At 42.5% G+C, this 17,863-nt stretch overlaps 1 protein-coding gene across 14 annotated transcripts in view, besides 1 other annotated feature; it reads right to left on the bottom strand.

Annotated features, from left to right (window-relative positions):
- Positions 1 to 17,863, bottom strand: part of PALM2AKAP2 (PALM2 and AKAP2 fusion) — a 531,726-nt gene that overhangs the window by 364,030 nt on the left and 149,833 nt on the right. The gene's annotated exons all lie outside the window — the stretch shown is intronic.
- Positions 8,809 to 8,978: an enhancer, noted in NCBI's record as "experimental_104519 CRE fragment used in MPRA reporter constructs". NCBI's record gives its function as "activates a minimal promoter by MPRAs in K562 erythroleukemia cells, with activity observed for both the introgressed and non-introgressed 9:112561870 variant alleles {active_cell/tissue: K562}" and the evidence as "EXISTENCE:reporter gene assay evidence [ECO:0000049][PMID:34662402]".

The following is a 17,863-nucleotide window of genomic DNA, read 5'->3' as shown; positions in this document are numbered from 1 at the left end:
CTTTAACACTTTGCTGCTTAGAAAGTTCTTCTGCCAGATGCCCCAAAATCGTCTCTCTCAAGTTCAAAGTTCCACAAATCTCTAGGGCAGGAGCAAAATGCCACCAGTCTCTTTGCTAAAACATAACAAGAGTCTCCTTTGCTCCTCATCTCCCTCTGAGACCACGTCAGCCTGGACTTTATTGTCCATATCACTATCAGCATTTTGGTCAAAGCCATTCAACAAGTCTCTAGGAAGTTCCAAACTTTCCCACATCTTCCTGACTTCTTCTGAGCACTCCAAACTGTTCCAGCCTCTCCCTGTTCACCAGTTCCAAAGTTGCTTCCACATTTTCAGGTATCTTTACAGTAGCACCTCACTCTACCAGTACCAATTTACTGTATTAGTTTGTTCACACACTGCTAATAAAGACGTACCTGAGACTGGGTAATTTATAAAGGAAAGACATTTAATTGAATCACAGTTCCATATGGCTGCGGAGGCCTCACAATCATGGCAGAAGGGCAAGCAAACATGTCCTTCTTCATATGGTGGCAGGAAGGAGGAGTGCCCAGCAAAACAGGAAAAAGCCCCTTATAAAATCATCAGATCTTGTGAGAACTCACTCACTATAATGAGAACAGCAGCACAGGGGTAACCACCCCCATGATTCAGTCATCTCCCACATAGTCCTTCCCACAATATGTGGGGATTATGGGAACTACAATTCAAGATGAGATTTGGGTCGGGACATAGCTAAACCATATCAGGGGGTGAATTAGTGCCTTTATAAAAGAGGCTCCATTGGTTCATATTGATTTTCTCCCTCCATGTCATTGCTAGTGATTAAATAATTCATCCTTTTCCCAATAGATTAAAGCACTACCTTTGTTTATATTACATGCTCATAATATTGGAATTCTTTCAGACAAAAAAAAAAAAAAGGTCCCAGAGAGCTGCCTTGCCCCTTCCACCATGTGAACATATATATATAGAAGGTTCCATCTATGAACCAGGAAACAGGCCCTTGCCAGACACCAAACCTACTAATGCCTTGGTCTTGGACTTCCAAGCCTCCAAAACTATGAGAAATAAGTTTCTGTTGTATATAAGCCACCCAGTCTATGGCATTTTGTTACAGCAGCACTAACAGGCTAAGACACTGACCACTCAACACTTCCACCTAGGTATCAGACCAACATCTCCAAAAATTGAACTTAACATGTCCAGAATTGAATTCCTATTTTCCCTTCACAGCAGGCCTTCCCATGGTGATCCCCATTTCATTCCAGTGAAACTCCATCCTTCTAGTTGCTTACCTCAAAACCTTTGGCACATTCTGGACTTTTTTTTCTCTCTCTCACATTCCACTTAGATCTACTGGATGAGAAAAATCCCCTGAACTATACTATCAACATCAATCCAGGATTCCCCATCTCCTCTGCTGCTAGCTTGGCCCACATGTATCTCTTTTCCCTCTGAATTACCACAATATCCTCCCAACTAGTCTCCCTGCTTCCACGCTTGCCCACTTCCTTACTAACTCAGCTCACCACATCAGCCAGAGTAATCTTTTTAAAAAATAGGTCAGATTGTGCAATTCTTGTGCTCCAAATCTTCCACTGGATTCTGATCTCATGTCAAGTAAAGGCCAACATCCTTACCACGGTATATAGATGCCTTCATAATCCAGCCCCAGCCACCACCTCTTTGGTCACATCACCTACCACTCTCCTTCACCCACTCCCCACCTGCCACACTAGGCTTTCCTTTTGCTTTTTGAACACACTAAGTATGATCTCAGCTCAGGCCAGCACTTGCTGTTCCTTCCACCAGAAGTGTGTTTCCCCCAGATATCCACATGGCTCACTCTTTGTTTTTTATCACAGCTCCAACACTAGCTTATTAGTAAGGTTTTTCTTGAACATTCTATGAAGGTATCCCCCTCCCCAGCACAACCAAGTCTCTGTACTACAAACTATACAAACATAGTATATATTCAATAGTTTATTCATAAATTATTCTTCCCTAGTCTCCCACCAGAATGCAAGCTCCGTGAGGGCAGAGACTGTCTTGTATTTACCATGAACATTCTCAGCATCCACAAATATATCTATAACATAGAAAATGTTCAAAAAATATTTCTTGGCTGAATTACATAAACTCAGATGCATGTTTATTTATCACACATGACTTCATAGCTTTAAGCTGGAGTTCAGATAAAATGAGTTAAACTAGTAAAACTGTTTTGGAAAGACCACTTTTGTAAATAAATCAAAAAGAAAATTGTTTTTATGTTTACTGCATTTTATAATTGGGTAATGTCAAAGATAGAACTTATACCACCTTTTACATAAGGAACATGCACATTTTGTTGATACAAAAGAAGAAATCCATGGCATCAGGAAAAATAATAAAGTCATGTTAACAGGCAGTGAGGAAATCAGATATGTAACCTTGGATGGGGCTGGTATGTGGGCCTGACCCAGGTAATGGCTGGTCTCAAACCCAAGATAGAGCTTTTCCATGGCCCTGGAGTCAGGAGCCTGGGAGGTGAATTCTTCCCATCTCAGGCAACTACTCTACTACAGCCACATTTCAGGCTACTATGTTTGATCTGAAGCAACATCAGAACAAGGTTCCACCATGCAAAGGATATCCTGGGTGCTTGGGGAAATATTTTAGCAAATGTATCCTAATTTTAAAATCATGGAGATGCCTAGGTGGTACAGGTCACCCGGTCTACTTTACCAAATGCGTAAATTACCTCTTCTGCCTATATACCAAGTATCTATTCAGTCGCTGCATCTTGGGAAAGGTTGCTCACCATCCCATGAAGTAGTTAATTCCAAACTGGGGCAGCTCTAAATATTGAGGAATTTTTTCCTTATCTTGCATTGACAGCTGCCTCCCCGAAACTGATAGCCACAGGTTTTGGACTTGATCCTACTTTTATAACTAGTTGTACATTTGTGTTTCCAGTGCCAAATGAGATGGTAGTAAATGGAGCACAGGTTTTTAAATCCTGCTTTTCACCAAATAAGCAATCAGACTGGAATTTCGGGGAAAAAAATCAACTGCTCTTTGACACAGTAATTCTAATTCAGGTCATTTTATTTTAAGAAACCCATATTCCTCCACTACAAAGGCTGGAAAGTTATCAGCCCACCTTCCCAGATATTTTTGAGCTAGGGTGATCACATGGCTTAGTCTGCAGATGGGAGTGATTCCCTGTTTTCTCTGGGAGAGCCCTGTGCTTGGCTTGCAGCCACCATCACTAAGAAAAACAGAGCTGCAGGAGGAGGTTCTCTGATGGTCTCAATGACCCCTTATCCCCTTGTCTCAATGTCTTCTTCCATGAAAAAAACAAACAAAAACCCTTAAGCTGTTTCTTCCCAGGTTTTCAGGCACTTGCAGCCAAATGTACTCCTAAAAAACAATTACGTAGCCAATTAAAATTATGTTTATGAAGAGTTTATAACGGCATGAGAAATTATTTATGAAAATGTGAAATGAAAAAAGCTTGATGCAAAATTTATAGAGAGCATAACTACAAATATATAAAATCTTTGCCAAAAAAATTCCCTACATGTGTTTGGTGATGAGATTATGGGCATTTATTTTTCTTTAAAAATGTTAACATACTGATTGAGTGTAAGGCCCCATGACAGGCACATTTAAGTTATTTTATTCTTTCCACTGTTTTGTACATTTCACTTTCTTATTTAGAATGAAGAAAATATTATTAAAAATAAAAAATCCTTTATCCTGGAAGGTCTAAAGGAAAAATCAACCAATTATGATTTTGGTAAAACCCACAGAAGTAAAATTTGCCAGTCTTCTTTTCCCCACCATCATTAGCATTCTGATTTGTCAGCTAACCAGAAAAATGTGTACGTAATAGAAGACTAGCAGGAAATTGACAAATTAACTTCAACTACCAAAAAGCCAAATGAAAACTGCTTGATTTCGTTACTACCGCAAAAAGAATGATTGTCAAAAAATGAGGGGAAAACAACTAACTTCTATGATTTCAGCATTATAAGGAAGGGCTGCTTATTTGCCATAGAAATAATATTTTGGAGGAAAAAGCTATTAAAATTCAGATCCATTCAAACCCAGACTGAGATTACAGCTTAGAGTTAATTAAATGAACCCCAATTGTGTGCAAACTGAATTTAAAATGTAATCAAAGTATACAGATGATATTATTTTTGACCCACCAAGATGCCATGCTGACTATCTTATTTCCTCCATGCCATGCTCTGTTTTGTGAAAAAAACTGCAGGAGATGGTAATCTGTTTTCTCCAGTGATGAGGTGACACAGACAAAACAACATCCAGGCAGGTGATGATCTCTGCTTAACTCAGGATAAAGCAGGAAACTTGGCTGCATCCTGAACCTGAAGCCCTCTGGGGAATGTGCCACCACTGGGCCATTCGATTCAGCTGTCAGAGCCTGGCTGGGAGTTGTCTTTCTCTGGAGCTACCTGGGAGAAGGTGGGGACTTTCAGGATGGCCAAAAAAGCTGTTAGGTGGCAGTCTTTGATTTTCTTTGGACTCTCTGGCCTGGAACATAGCCATGGGGCTCCCAAGCTCCAAGGAATATATTTACAGCCACTGCCTTTGTTTAGATGACAGTTAACCTCATCTACTCCCTTAACTCTGCAGGAGCACATACCCATCAAAGGAAGACACTAGGAATTTCAAGCCACTGTCTCTACCTTGTCTTCCCAAGGTGTCTACTAGGGTGGAGGAGAAGCAGATGAAAGAGGAGAATTGGGACTATGGTGCTGGCCCACTTGTGTTGATGCTAACTTGCTTTCCTGCCTCCTGCAGCTGGTTCCCTCAAGAGCCACATCAGTTTGTTGAGCTGATGAGAACTGACCAGGACATATTTCCTACAGAACTCTTGAAGTTTTCCAGGTCTCTGATTATTACTACTTGCAAAATCACCAGCATCTCAGGGGGGAATATAAATGCATCTCCAAGGTAGACCTCTTTCCAGCGTGGGTCTAGATGATCTTGAGGGCTCCTAGTTTGCCTAAGACACATCCAGAAATGAGGCTCCATGAGACAAATTCACCAAGAAGGTGTGCTATTCAACAGGCGGTGCCTACCCTGGTTAACAGCATTTTGATTAAAATGGTCAGGCAGAACCTACCAGATCCAAGTGCCAACACATGGCTATCCCCTATGAGCACTATTAAAGGACTTTATGAAGCTAGCAAAAGGATTTGTGAAAAATTACTAAACCAATAATTCACAGTGACAATTACTAGATTTCGTCAATTCTAAGATATGCTATTGTGTTTCCTCTCGCATTATAATGTTACTGAAATAGCAATGCATCTTACAGTTAATGTGTACATTTTAATGTGTTAGTGTTTCTTTTTTTTTCCCCAAAAACCTGTTCTTGGAAATAAATAAATAAGCAAGCAAGCAAACAAACACAGACTATTCTGATTCTAGTTTCTTCCTATTCTGGAACTAGCAAGCATCTTAATAATAATGAACTGATGAGGCTAAGAGACTGGCATCTGTGTTAAAAAGACCCGGATTCCTACCTTTCCTGATCCATCACAGTAGTCTGCACTGAGATACCTGCTTTTGCATCAGCATTCCTTCATGAACAATCTATGTGGCAGAGAAGGCTAATGATCCATCTAAATTTACGCTCTTCCTCCCATAGGATGGAGGCAGCCCTGGAAAGTAACCACCCAGCCAGGTACCATGTTTTCTAGCTTTCTTTGCACCTAGGTGTGGTCATATGACTAGTTCTCCAGACTATGAGAAGAATGATGTGGGTCACTTCCAGACAAAGGCAGTTAAGAAGTGAGTGTGCCTCTTCATCCTCTCTCATTTGACAGGCTGGAGGCAAAGGATTCTGAGGCCCTGGGAGATAGCAGAGTCAGAAATAGTAGAAACCACATGGAGGAAAGCTGTCCACTGGCAAGGAATACCTGCATTAGACTGTTAAATTGCTGAAAGTATGGGGGTTTATTTATGCTCTAAATTATATTTTTCCCCTATATAATTTCAACACAGCAAATGTCTGGCTGGTGTCTGGGACTCTGGGGTATGACAACCCACTGCTGGCTACATAATTTGTAGGGCCCAGGGCAAAATGAAAATGCAGGGCTCCTGGTCCAAAAGTTATTAAGAATTTCAATATGGCTATGGAGCATTTAACAAAGTGGGGAACCTATGTGACTACAGAAATCACGTGCTGATGAAGCCAGCCCTGCTCTGACCTCAATACCCAATATCATGTTAGTTATACAGCATTATTTTAACTGTAGCAACCCCATTTCAGATGCCCAGAAGAGGCTAAAATTAAGACTAGGATTATTGCTATGCATTTTTAGAGAAACACGCTCAGGGCCTTCTTGCTCCATCCCACAGTGAGAAGAATATATGAGGTATATTTGCATACACAGACTCTCCAAAGCAGCATTTTGACTGAGAAGTGTTGTTCATTTGGGTTGTTCAATGGCATTTTGTGTCCAGCTGGTCAGTCATAAATTGCCCATTCATCAGGAACTTGATCTGGTTGATTTTGGGGGGATCACCCCTCCCCATGGTCCCTCTCATTAGTCCAGGAAAAGGCTTTGTGAGACTAGAGCTGCTTGCTGGCCCAACTTCTTACCATGATGCCCATTTTTATCCCCTTCCTGCAGGCCAAGTACCACTGTAGGTCAATTCACTAACCCTAACATCACACAAGGAGTATGTTAGTAGATGCAGTTCTCAGCCCTTCACACACACACACAAACACACACACACACACACACATATCAACACCTGGGCAGCTGGCCCAGCTCTGGCCTGAGCATTCTGATAATCAGCTTTCAGAATGACCCATCCCAGGTCCTGGAGTCCTGGCTTTAAAGCCCTGGCCTGTGGCTAAGGTCCATGCTCCATGCTGACAGGCCACCAGCCACCACTGGCCTGAGCTTGCTTTTTTGCTATTTATTTTTTTGAAAGTAAAACAAAAACATTTTAATTTTATCGAATGAATCTGTGTTGGTGATGCACCTGCACTACCTTCCATACATTGTGACTGTCCAACTCCATTTCAGCTCAATCATCTGGAATCCACCTTTCTAAGCAACATATTTCTATTACTATTTCTTGATGCTCCAGTTTTAGATATTGTCCATAGACTTCCTCCTGGACCAATTTCTACCTCATCCTCCTGCAAGGCTGGGTTCTAGGTTCTCCCTTCACCACTATCCCTGGGGGTATCTTCCCCATTCTCTTGTCTGAGTTTGCTTTTAAGGAACTCCTTTCTCCCTGGAGGGACCCACAGCCCCACATGGTGCTATACTTTTAGGACAACAGGTCTGTCTGCTGAGCTGAAATGTTTCACGGCAACTGAAGGTGTGTATGTATGCAACCCCCAAATCTACCCTGTTATCTTGCTTCTTTAGCCTTCCCACCACATCCCCCAACCCCAACTCACCATCCAGTTGTAATTAACCAGACTGGGCTAATTGAAAGTTTTACTGCTATACAGCTTGAGTTCTTCAGGCTGATTCCCCATCTCCCACTCATCACTACCACACTGACACATAAGCCAGTTGCCTGTATCAAGGCTTTGAGTCCTAAGACGTCATTCTTCCCTCCAAGGCAGTTAGGATCCTCTATTAAAGCACGCAGAGTTTCCAGTGACTATAAAAGGAAATTGTATTGAATACTCCATTTCTTACAATTGTTTAATCAATAAAAGGTTACAAATACATCTGTAGAAATAAACAACAACAAACCCCTGTAGATTTAAAGATTCTATTTTGAGTAAATACAGAGAAAGATAAAGCTAAGATGACAGGTAGACGCTACTTCAAGTACTACCATTGCTCAGTTGGGAGCAGTGGCTACCTGTAGCATTGTGTTGAAAGGATCCTGAGGTCAAATCTGAGCTGAGCAAGAAATAATTCCATGATCAATTAGTGATACATAGGAACAAAGGGTGGCAACATGTGAGTCGTTTAATTGCCAAACCCGGAGGGGTCATTTGCATGGGTTTGGAGCCAGACAGATCTGAGTTTGAATCTGGACTCAGCTACCCGGTCTTGGGCTAACGTTAAACCTCCTCAAGTTAACAGTTCCTCTTCTGTTAAAACAGTGATAAGAATTCCTCTAACAGAGTATTATTGTTTCCATTAAATGCGGTAGTATTTGCTAAACACTTACCATAACAGTAGTATATATTAAGTACCTAATCACAGAAGCTCTTACAATATTAGTTCTTTGGCCCTAAAATTAGTTCTTAAATATAAATGCCTTGAAATATGCTCCTCTGATTTAAAAGTGTGTTTGTGTTGATCTCCATCCTCTTTTCAAATCAGTAAACCTTATACTGGCACATGGGAGGTGCTGGGTAACAATCAGGTGATAAACATAGGATTTCTGCCCATCAATCTCTCCACCAACAGCACATTCTGTATGGCAGGCAATAGGGAATCCGAGTGGCTCTGACTGAATTCTTAGCTTTCCCTAAAAATAAGCTTATAGTCTGAGTCACCCCTTTCTTCCCAGGCTCCTCTGAAAGTTGAACAGGATGTCACAAAGGCCAGAAATAGCCTCCACATTCCAACTCGAAACTGGTTTTCCATCAGCTCTAAGGCTTTCCACTGAAGCTGGGGAGGATGCTTCTTCTGGGTTTCAGTATAAAAAGAATGCCTTAAACAGTTAAAAACCTAATGGTGGCCGACGCGGTGGTTCATGCCTGTAATCCCAACACTTTGGGAATCTGAGGCAGGTGGACTGTTTGAGCCCAGGAGTTCGAGACAAGCCTGGGAACATGGTGAAACCCCATCTCTACAAAAAATACAAAAAAATTAACCAGGCATCGTGTTGCATGCCTACAGTCTCAGCTACATGAGAGGATGAAGTGAGAGGATCACTTGAGCGCAGGTGGTCAAGACTGCAGTGAGTAATGGTCGTGCCACTGCACTCCAGCCTGGGCAACAGAGTGAGACCCCATCTCAAAAATAAACTCCCCAAAACTAAAGGTGACCCCTCTATGGAAATAATGGAAAGCCACTGAGAAGCCTTGAGGAATGTACCAGCACTGGCAGGGACCGGCAGTCAGGAACCTGGAGCAGCTCCCTGCCTCATCCTGCCTCCACTCTGCCACCACAGCAGTCTCTGATAAACCACAGGTCTTCAGTGGCTCTCAGCCTCTCACAGACCACATCTTTGCCCCACTTGGAACACCTGGTCTTCTGTGGTCCAGCACCCCCTGCCCATCAACCTCACTTCTCAACATCCACGAGCCACGCTGAGCTTCACATCACTTCCTGACACTGTTCTGCTCCATCACAAACCTTGTCACTTTGCCCATGCTCCTCCTTTGATCTGCATACTAACAGAATCCTCTGGCCTTGGCCACCCTCACCAGACCTAGGCTGCTTTTTGCCCTCTTGGGGAGGTTAGGAGGTGCTAGGACTGGGTCCTAGAGCACAGCAAGGGGATCCGTGAGTCTTTGAGACTCGGGTTGCATGGTCCGCACAACAGTGACCTGGAGGGGAAACGGAGGGCAGCAGGGCAGGTGGCTTGGAGCAGTGGAAAGACAGCTGACATAGAGACATGGATGATGTGGGCTCCGGCCACAGCCTGGATGATCTTGAACAAATTACTCAGCTGAGCTTCTGTTTTCTCTGAAATAAAATGCAGAAAATAATACCTTTCCTGCTCCTTCAGGCACAAACAAATTGATAGAAGGAGAGAATTCTGTAAACTCTAAATAACTGTGAACATATGAGGCATGTTTTGTTTATTATCAATGGGGAGTAGTGACACAACACTGGGTCCTAAGCAAAAACACAGACAGGACTGGGGGCAGCTCTGTTGACATTTTGAACTCCTGTGATGTAGTTTACAGCTTTGCCCAATGTTTTTAACTGGCTAGGTGAGGGTATGTTTAACACTCATGCCTTAGCGTGAAATGTGGTTCTATGCCTTTCCTGATAAAAGGCTTTGACAGGAGACAGAGGGTTATGGGATACATGAGTGTGTAGACAAGGCAGAGGTTTGAGCCATTAATGGCATATGGCACCCATTGTTTACAGGCCCCTTAGCCATTCCCCTGGGACACAATTTCTACTGCCATAGCCAGAAGCAGAGTAGGGTACGCTTGACCATCACTGCGAGATGCAGGTATCATCTGACAGCATGCAAGGACCCTGTCCCCAGAAAGATATATTGAAGTCCTAACCCCCAGTACCTCAGGATATTTCTGAGTCAGGGTCCTTTCAGAAGTCATCAACTTATGTCATTAGGGTAGGCCCTATTCCAACATGATTGGTGTCCTTATGAAAAGGGGAAATTTGGACACACCGGCAGACATATGTAGAAAGAAGATGATGTGAAGAGACATAGGGAGAAGCTGGCCATCCCCAAGTCCAGGAGAGAGGCCTGGAACAGATCCTTCCTCACAACCCTCAGAAGAAACCAATCTAGCTGGACATCTTGATTTCAGACTTCTAGCCTCCAGAACTATGAGATGATAAAATTGTTGTTGTTTAAGCCACCCAATTTGTGGCACTTTATTATAACAGCCCTGGAAAACTAATACAGAACCTTTATAACAATCTAGGGGAAAAAAGAACTAGGGAAGCCACAACAGTCCAAATTAGGAAGAACACTGATGTGTTTACCTGGTGAAAGCCACAGATACTAACCCAACTCTGAACATTTTGGGACCTGATGGCCTATATGCTCAAAGGGAACTAAACTAGAGATGGCTCATTTTTGTTTGTTTATTATGAAATTCACTTGTAGCAATAATGAATCTGCAGGCCGCCTGCTTCCCACACATGCCCCTGCCCTGGCGGTTCACAGCCAAGGTGTGCAACGGGGAGGGTGACGGACGGCTTCTGCAGAGCTGCTTGAAGCTGGTGCATGTGGTGGGTGATTGCTGGTAAAGGTCCCAGCAGTCCCACTGCTCACTGCTGCTTCTGAGTTCAGAACCAGGAAAGATTCTAACTCTGTAGACTTCCAGGATCTAGGCAAACCAAATTGCAAGTTCATGCTCTAGCTGGAAATTTGTGGATGCTTTCCATGCGGAGGGGAGATATCAAGAGTGAACTGATCTCAAACACAGTCCAAGAATCCAAGAAGAGCCCCTGATAAAAAAGGTGAAGTTGGCAAAGCAACTGTTTCCATTCAAAAAGCATTCAGTGAGTATCTGTGATGTGCCAACCTCCCTCTCTCCTCTGAAGCTCAGGGTAACCCCAAGCTGGGCCTAGAAGCTTCCCTTCCCATGCTAAGCGGAGTGAGAACTTAGATAGCGGCCAAAGGACACAACCCAGCTGAGAGAGATGGAAAGTGAATGCAGAAGAAAGAACCTAGAAAAATTTGCTGGGGAAGAACCCCAAGAAGGTAAAAGAGGTAGCATCAGGCAAAGGAAAGGAGGAAACCATCAGAGCAGGGGCCCAGTTACAAAAGAAAGAAGTGAGAATTCAGGGCGTTTGGGGATAAGACAGAATTTAGGGTACCCAGCTAAAGGTTATTTTTACCACCCCCTAGCTAACATTTAGCACCGCCTTCAGTTATGAATGTAAGCACAAGCCCCAGGTAGATCATTAGTACCTATATGATATGGTTTGGCTCTGTGTCCCCACCCACATCTCATCTTGAATTGTAATCCTCATAATCCCCATGTGTCAGGGGCAGAACCTGGTGGGAGGTGATTGGATCATGGGGGCAGTTTCTCCCATGCTGTTCTCATGATAGTGAGTGTGTTCCCATGAAATCTGATGGTTTTATAAGTGTTTGACAGTTACTCCTACACACATGATCTCTCTCACCTGTTGCCACGTAAGATGTGCCTGCTTCCCCTTCCACCATGATTGTAAGTTTCCTGAGGCCTCCCCAGACATGCAGAACTGTGAATCAATTAAACCTCTTCCCTTTACAAATTACCCAGTCTCAGGGGAAGTTATTTATAGCAGTGTGAGATTGGACTAATATACCATGACTTTATTAGGAGTAGGAATCACAGACTTTTTATATAACATTACAGTTGTTGGAGACAGCTCAAAATATCACTTACATTCACCAATAATTTGCAATTAGAGTAAGTATTAGAACTGCCACTAGATTTTACTTAATAAAAAAGCATGTTATCTTTAACTTTTCTAATATTTTGCTGACTGTACATCAATCAAATCCCATGTTATCTATCACAGTTTTCTAATATTTTGCTGACTGTACATCAATCAATCAAAGCACATTATCTATCACAGTTTTCTAATATTTTGCTGACTATATATAAATTTCATTGGTTATATTTTTAATCCTAAATATTTTATTTTGTGCATTTAAGCACTATTCTGAAAAGCGACCCATAGGTTCCACAAGACTGCTAAGGAGTCCAAGATACAGAACAAGAACTCTGCTAAAAGTCACTAAACTTGCTTTGACACTATGCAAAATGTGTTGTGACAGGCGGAGAGTAGATAATGGTGAATATGACATAGTCATTGGCCTCAAGAAGTTTACAGTCAGGCAGGAGAGACAGACAGGAAGTTATATTCTTTGCCCCTCTCTTTTTGTTCCCTGACTTCTATTCCCATCAACAGAGTACAGCACCTCTGCTCGCCCATATGGCACTCTGTGATCTAGAAAAGGTGCCCTTTCCTCAAAACCTGCTGGAAAATTGCCCTAACAAATACACAAGGCTACAGGGACCTTGTGTGAACAGTGCCCTGGCACAGGGCTCAGCAGTAAGGCTGAACTACAGCACCAGCCTAAGGCCTGACTATAGTGAATCTCCGCAGAAATGTTAGGTAAGAAGGTTCCTTACACGTGTATGCCAACTCCCTCATCTCTTGCCCATGGAAGACAGCTCTAATCTGTCTTAATGTCCTTTCTCCAACACCTAAAATGCAGCTTCAAAGATCTTCCCACGGCGGCACTATAGATGGACACTTTCTATCAGTTAGAGTTCACATAGGAGCTGAAAACCATCTGCCATCCCAAGCTTAAGGATTTACCATTTTTTTAATTTTATTTTTTATTATACTTTAAGTTTTAGGGTACACGTGCACAACGTGCAGGTTAGTTAAATCAATATTGTCGTGAGGGATTCTAGAAAATAAAAAAGACTTTGACATTTAAAGAAATTAATCCCTAATGATGAGAGTGAAGACTTAAAGGGATAAATCCCTAATGGTAAAAGAATGGGAAGTACATTTGGTCAGGTAACCTTTATGTTATACTACATCAGTGATTTTCAAAGGGGTTATTTTTTTCCCCAAAGGATATTTGGCAATGTCTGGAGACCTTCTTGATTGTCACAATGAAGAGTGGGGTGTGCTACTAGCATTTAATGGATAGAGACCAAGGATGCCACTAACATCCTATAATGCAAAAGATCGGCCCCACAGACAGCAGAAAATTATCTATCCCAAAGTGTTAATGGTACTTCAGTTAAGAAACCTTACACTATAGGGTTGGCTTCCCATTCTCCAAGCAGCTGCTCAGAAGTAGCCCATCTAGAGAATTTCAGGATCAAGCATATGTATGACCAGAAAAGCAAAGGCTGTCCATCTGCAGTGAGCAATTGTGAGTGTCCACAACCCTGTCCACTTCAGCATGGCCACAGGGCCGACGCAAGTACTGCAGCAATCATTCTTTAACCCGATTTCACAATTATGGCTCTGCTATCTTCCAAAACCTTGAGCAATTTGAAAATATTTATTAAGGCACCAAAGTCCCTTTGGAAATTTCCAGGCAGACCAGACTCAAAATTGTAGCTGGTGTTTTTGAGTAAGAAATGGAAGAGGGCAGAAAGGAAGTACTTAATGATTCAGAGACACTAGGGTCGATCCTGCTACCACTGGCCATGGGCAACTTTTACCTAGTGGCCACTCTATTTGTAAATCAAGGCCCTGGTCCCAAGGGTTCCATGAGGTAACTGAACAGGGAAGGCTGGCCAGAAACCACTCCTCTCTGGCTCCCTGCTTGGACTCAGGGAATGTGGCTGGTGTGCTCTCTGACCTTTAGTCTTTCACTAAGTGTGCTTAAAGTTCCCTGAAAGAGAAAAGTGAGGGTTCAGGCAAAATCCAGGGAGCAAAAAAAAAAAAAAATACACCTGGAAAATCTGCAGTGCTTTCCCTCAACCCTCAGTCCCTGTCAATAGAAAGAAATGTTTTTAATTGTATGGACTTATTTCAGATGGGCCAAACTGTTAACCCTAAGAGATCAGATTTTCTGGTTTTCAAAAAACAACAACAACAACAACAACAACATGCAGTTGGCTTAGATAGCAAAGGATATAATGAGAAAATTCCACAGCGGCAAAACTCACATGCCAGCTTCGGTAAACAAAACCTCTCATCATGGTAAGCCCAGAAAACAGTGAAAAGGATGTCTGAGATGCTTTATTGTTCTGGACTGTAAGCAATGAGGCAATAGTGATTTCTTTAGATAAAAGGCTCCTGGAGCCTTCATCGCAAATACAGCCATTGAAATACGCCATGTAGAAAGCAGGGGTTGGCAAAGTTTTTCTCCAAATGGTCAGATAGTAAATATTTTTGGCTTTACAGGCCATAGAGTCTCTGTTTTAATTATTCACCTCTGCCATTATAGCACAAACTTAGCCATAGACAACACATACATGAATGGGCATGGTTATGCTCTGGTAAAAGTTTATTTATGGATGCTGACATTTGAATTTCATACAAATCTCATGAGTCATAAAAGATCCTTTTTTGAATTTTTTCAAATTTGTAAAAATATAAAAACCAGGCACTGCTCATAGGCCTTATGAAAAGAGGCTGCAGGCTGAATTTGGCCCACGGGCTATTGTTTGCTGGTCCCTGGTCTAGACCGAAAAGTGGAATTTCCACTCATTTTTCATTCTGAAGCTGCTATCTAAAATCAATTTTCCTCCTTGCCTCCTTGTGATTCTGAAATCACACTAGTAAAATGGAAAAATGAAACAACAAACAAACAAGACAAATAAATCAGCCATCACACCACTCTCCACCAAAGTATCCAGGCTGGGAAGGATCTGGTTGTGATCACTGTGTGACTCATCTTCTACCCACCACAGGGCACTGTCCTGCTCAGTGCAGTATAAGATATATGGCTTGCTGAAGGCTAGCATTCCAATGTTATTTTTAAACTCATCCAGTTTGAGCAATCTCTTTGTTTAGTCTTTTCAGACTTATATTATTCAAAGGTCAGGCCAGAGAAAAAGGGTAGAGGAGGGGCTGTAACATGAACCAATTTCTGAAATCCAGTTGTCCTCCTTCCTTGAGCACATATTAGATCATTTCTTGTTCTCTGGAAAGGATAAAACCAGTTGGTCACAAAACATTTCTTGAAAATCCATTTATGTGTATAGAAAGCACTCTTATCCTTCCAACACTTGCCCTATCTCCCTATAAACATGCTACTATTTAAAATCAAAGCATACAATCGCTTCTTGGCCTTTGGCTAAGATTAAGTGTAATAAAATCAAAGAGTATTTTCAAAGAGTATTTTCACCCTTTGGTGAAACACAGAGAAAGTAGGTTTTGAACTTACATGAGAATGTGGCATGAATGTGAAGAGGATGGGCTTGCCAGATAAAATATGGAATGTCCTGTTAAATGTGAATTTCAGATCAACAACAAATAATATTTTAATATAAATATGTCCCCATGGAATCACTGGGCATCCTATACATTTAGTTGCTAAATGGAACAACCCTAGTAGGGGATAGTGAAAAGACGACCCAGGCTGGAGCAGAAGGTATGTATTAGGAAGAAGCAAAAACTTGTTATATAGGTATGGTAGGGTGCTCATTATGAAACAGTTCCCCACCAATGGCTGGGAACCCAAGTTTCATGTTCTGGTCAACCCTCCCACCCTCAACTGATTTTTAGGGTCTTCAAAGTCAGGGTATAAGGTAGCCCCAAGCAGAATGACTTAGATTCCAGTTAGAGTTTTAAAATCAGCCTTCCTGGGAGACTTTTGGGGGTGATGGAACTGTTCTGTTGCCTGAGTATACCAGTGATTGCACAAATCTACGCATGTGTTCAAATTGAGAGAGCTGTACATCAAGAAAGTCAATTTTAGTGCTGGGAGCAATGGCACATGCCTATAATCCCAGCTACTTAGGAAGCTGAGGTGGAAGGATCGCTTGAGCCCAAGAGTTCAGGACCAACCTGAGCAACATAGCGAGACCCAGTCTTCCAAATTAAAGAATTTAATAAGTCTATTTTTCTCTTCATTCATTTTCATTTTTTTTAAAGAGTGCTTGTAGTTTTTACTTCTTACAGAGAACTGATGAGTTCATCCAGCATGCTGGATAAGGAACTGATTTAAGTAGCAGCCCTGACTCTGACCCAAGACTATGGTTTTCTTATAGGGTATGGATCCCACCAAGGTGCCCAACATACATAAGTGTATCTACAACTCACATAGCTTTATACTGTACCAACCCCCCAGCCCCCATTCCCACATACTATTGGTTTTGTAATTAAATAAAATAGGTTGTGACATGCAGACGTGGAAAACTGGTGGCCCAGGCTGGGGGTAGAGGGGGAGGGTCATTGAGACAGGGAACAAATCCAGCCTACACTGTGTTAAAATCTGTGTTATGTTTGGTTTGGCCCATACAGTATTTAAACTGTTGTGAGCATTTAAACATCAACAGACTTCCTTCAAAATTGGATTTCCAGGTTCTCTTGGAAAAGCAGGAGACCCTGGGCTCAAATTCCCACACAGTGCCCATCAGTTGGAGTTGAGCACTCTCTGTCCCCTCAGGAGTCTGCCCTCTCTTGGCTACCACAGTCCCAAAAGCTCAGCCAAGTCAACCTGGTACCTGTGCACATCTGAGATCTCACCCCCCTAACATAAGGCATTCAGCAGGGTGGCTGGCACATGGACCCTCTCCGGAACTGGGAGCCCTTCCCTCCAACCCCTTAAGAAAAGCTACATGATGAAGTACCATCTTTCCCTTGCTTTCTGAAGCCTGGGGTGCCCTATCTCCCTATAGGGGAGAGGGCGCACTTCTGCTGGAGGAAGGCTGGAAAAGGCTCCCTCCACTGCCATGCCAGGCTGCTTCCTGCTTTTCTCTGTGGACCCAGGCTGAGAGGGGATGAGAGATAGAACCATCCAGAGGCAAAAGCAGGAACATGTCAAGTAGAAAGAGATGACGGTGGAAAGAGAGAAAGGCAGGTGATTAAGCAGTTTACATTACTTTCAACTTTGCCTCCTCTTGTCTGTATTTTTCAGAGTCAATATTTTCTCTTCATTCTCCCTCATCGCATCCAATACTGATCTGACATATATCATTCTCACTCCAGTGTAAATAAGGATGGGGAGTAAACAGGCTACTAGTGTCTTATCTCTAGTCACCAGTAAGATTGGAAAGTACATTCTACTGCTGCCTCCAGGACCTCCTCTGTCTTCTGACCCATCTCCGCCAAACCTATCTCATCTATTGTTAAATATCCTTCGGGTTTTGTGGTGAGTTTTATTTGATTAACAACACTGAATTTTGAACACACATGCTCAGACATCAATGTTCATGAACAAGACTGCCTGCATACCACCTGGAAAAGAAAAATAGGCCATGCAGGTTACAGGAGCACTGCTATCCTAGAGTATGCTTTTGCTTACCTGGATAAGCAGGACTTCCTTTTAGCATCACTCATATTAGCCTTAAGCTTTTTAGATATGTCTCACAGTTCCACTGGAGCAAGGACATTTTCAAAGCACTTCCCACCCCAGTAGAAACAGCACGTGATATCAGCCCAAGATGTATGTCAAGTCACACCACAAAAACTCAGTGTTTAAGGCCAATCAGGTGCCTGGGGAAAGCCAGCTGACTGAGTTCATGCCACCCAGCCAAGAGGCACCTTTCTTAAATCCCGGCCTC

Source organism: Homo sapiens, chromosome 9 (assembly GCF_000001405.40).
Source record: "Homo sapiens chromosome 9, GRCh38.p14 Primary Assembly".
Taxonomy (NCBI): domain Eukaryota; kingdom Metazoa; phylum Chordata; class Mammalia; order Primates; family Hominidae; genus Homo; species Homo sapiens.
Note: the sequence above shows the minus strand (reverse complement) of the source record. Positions and strands in the feature narration are given on the sequence as shown.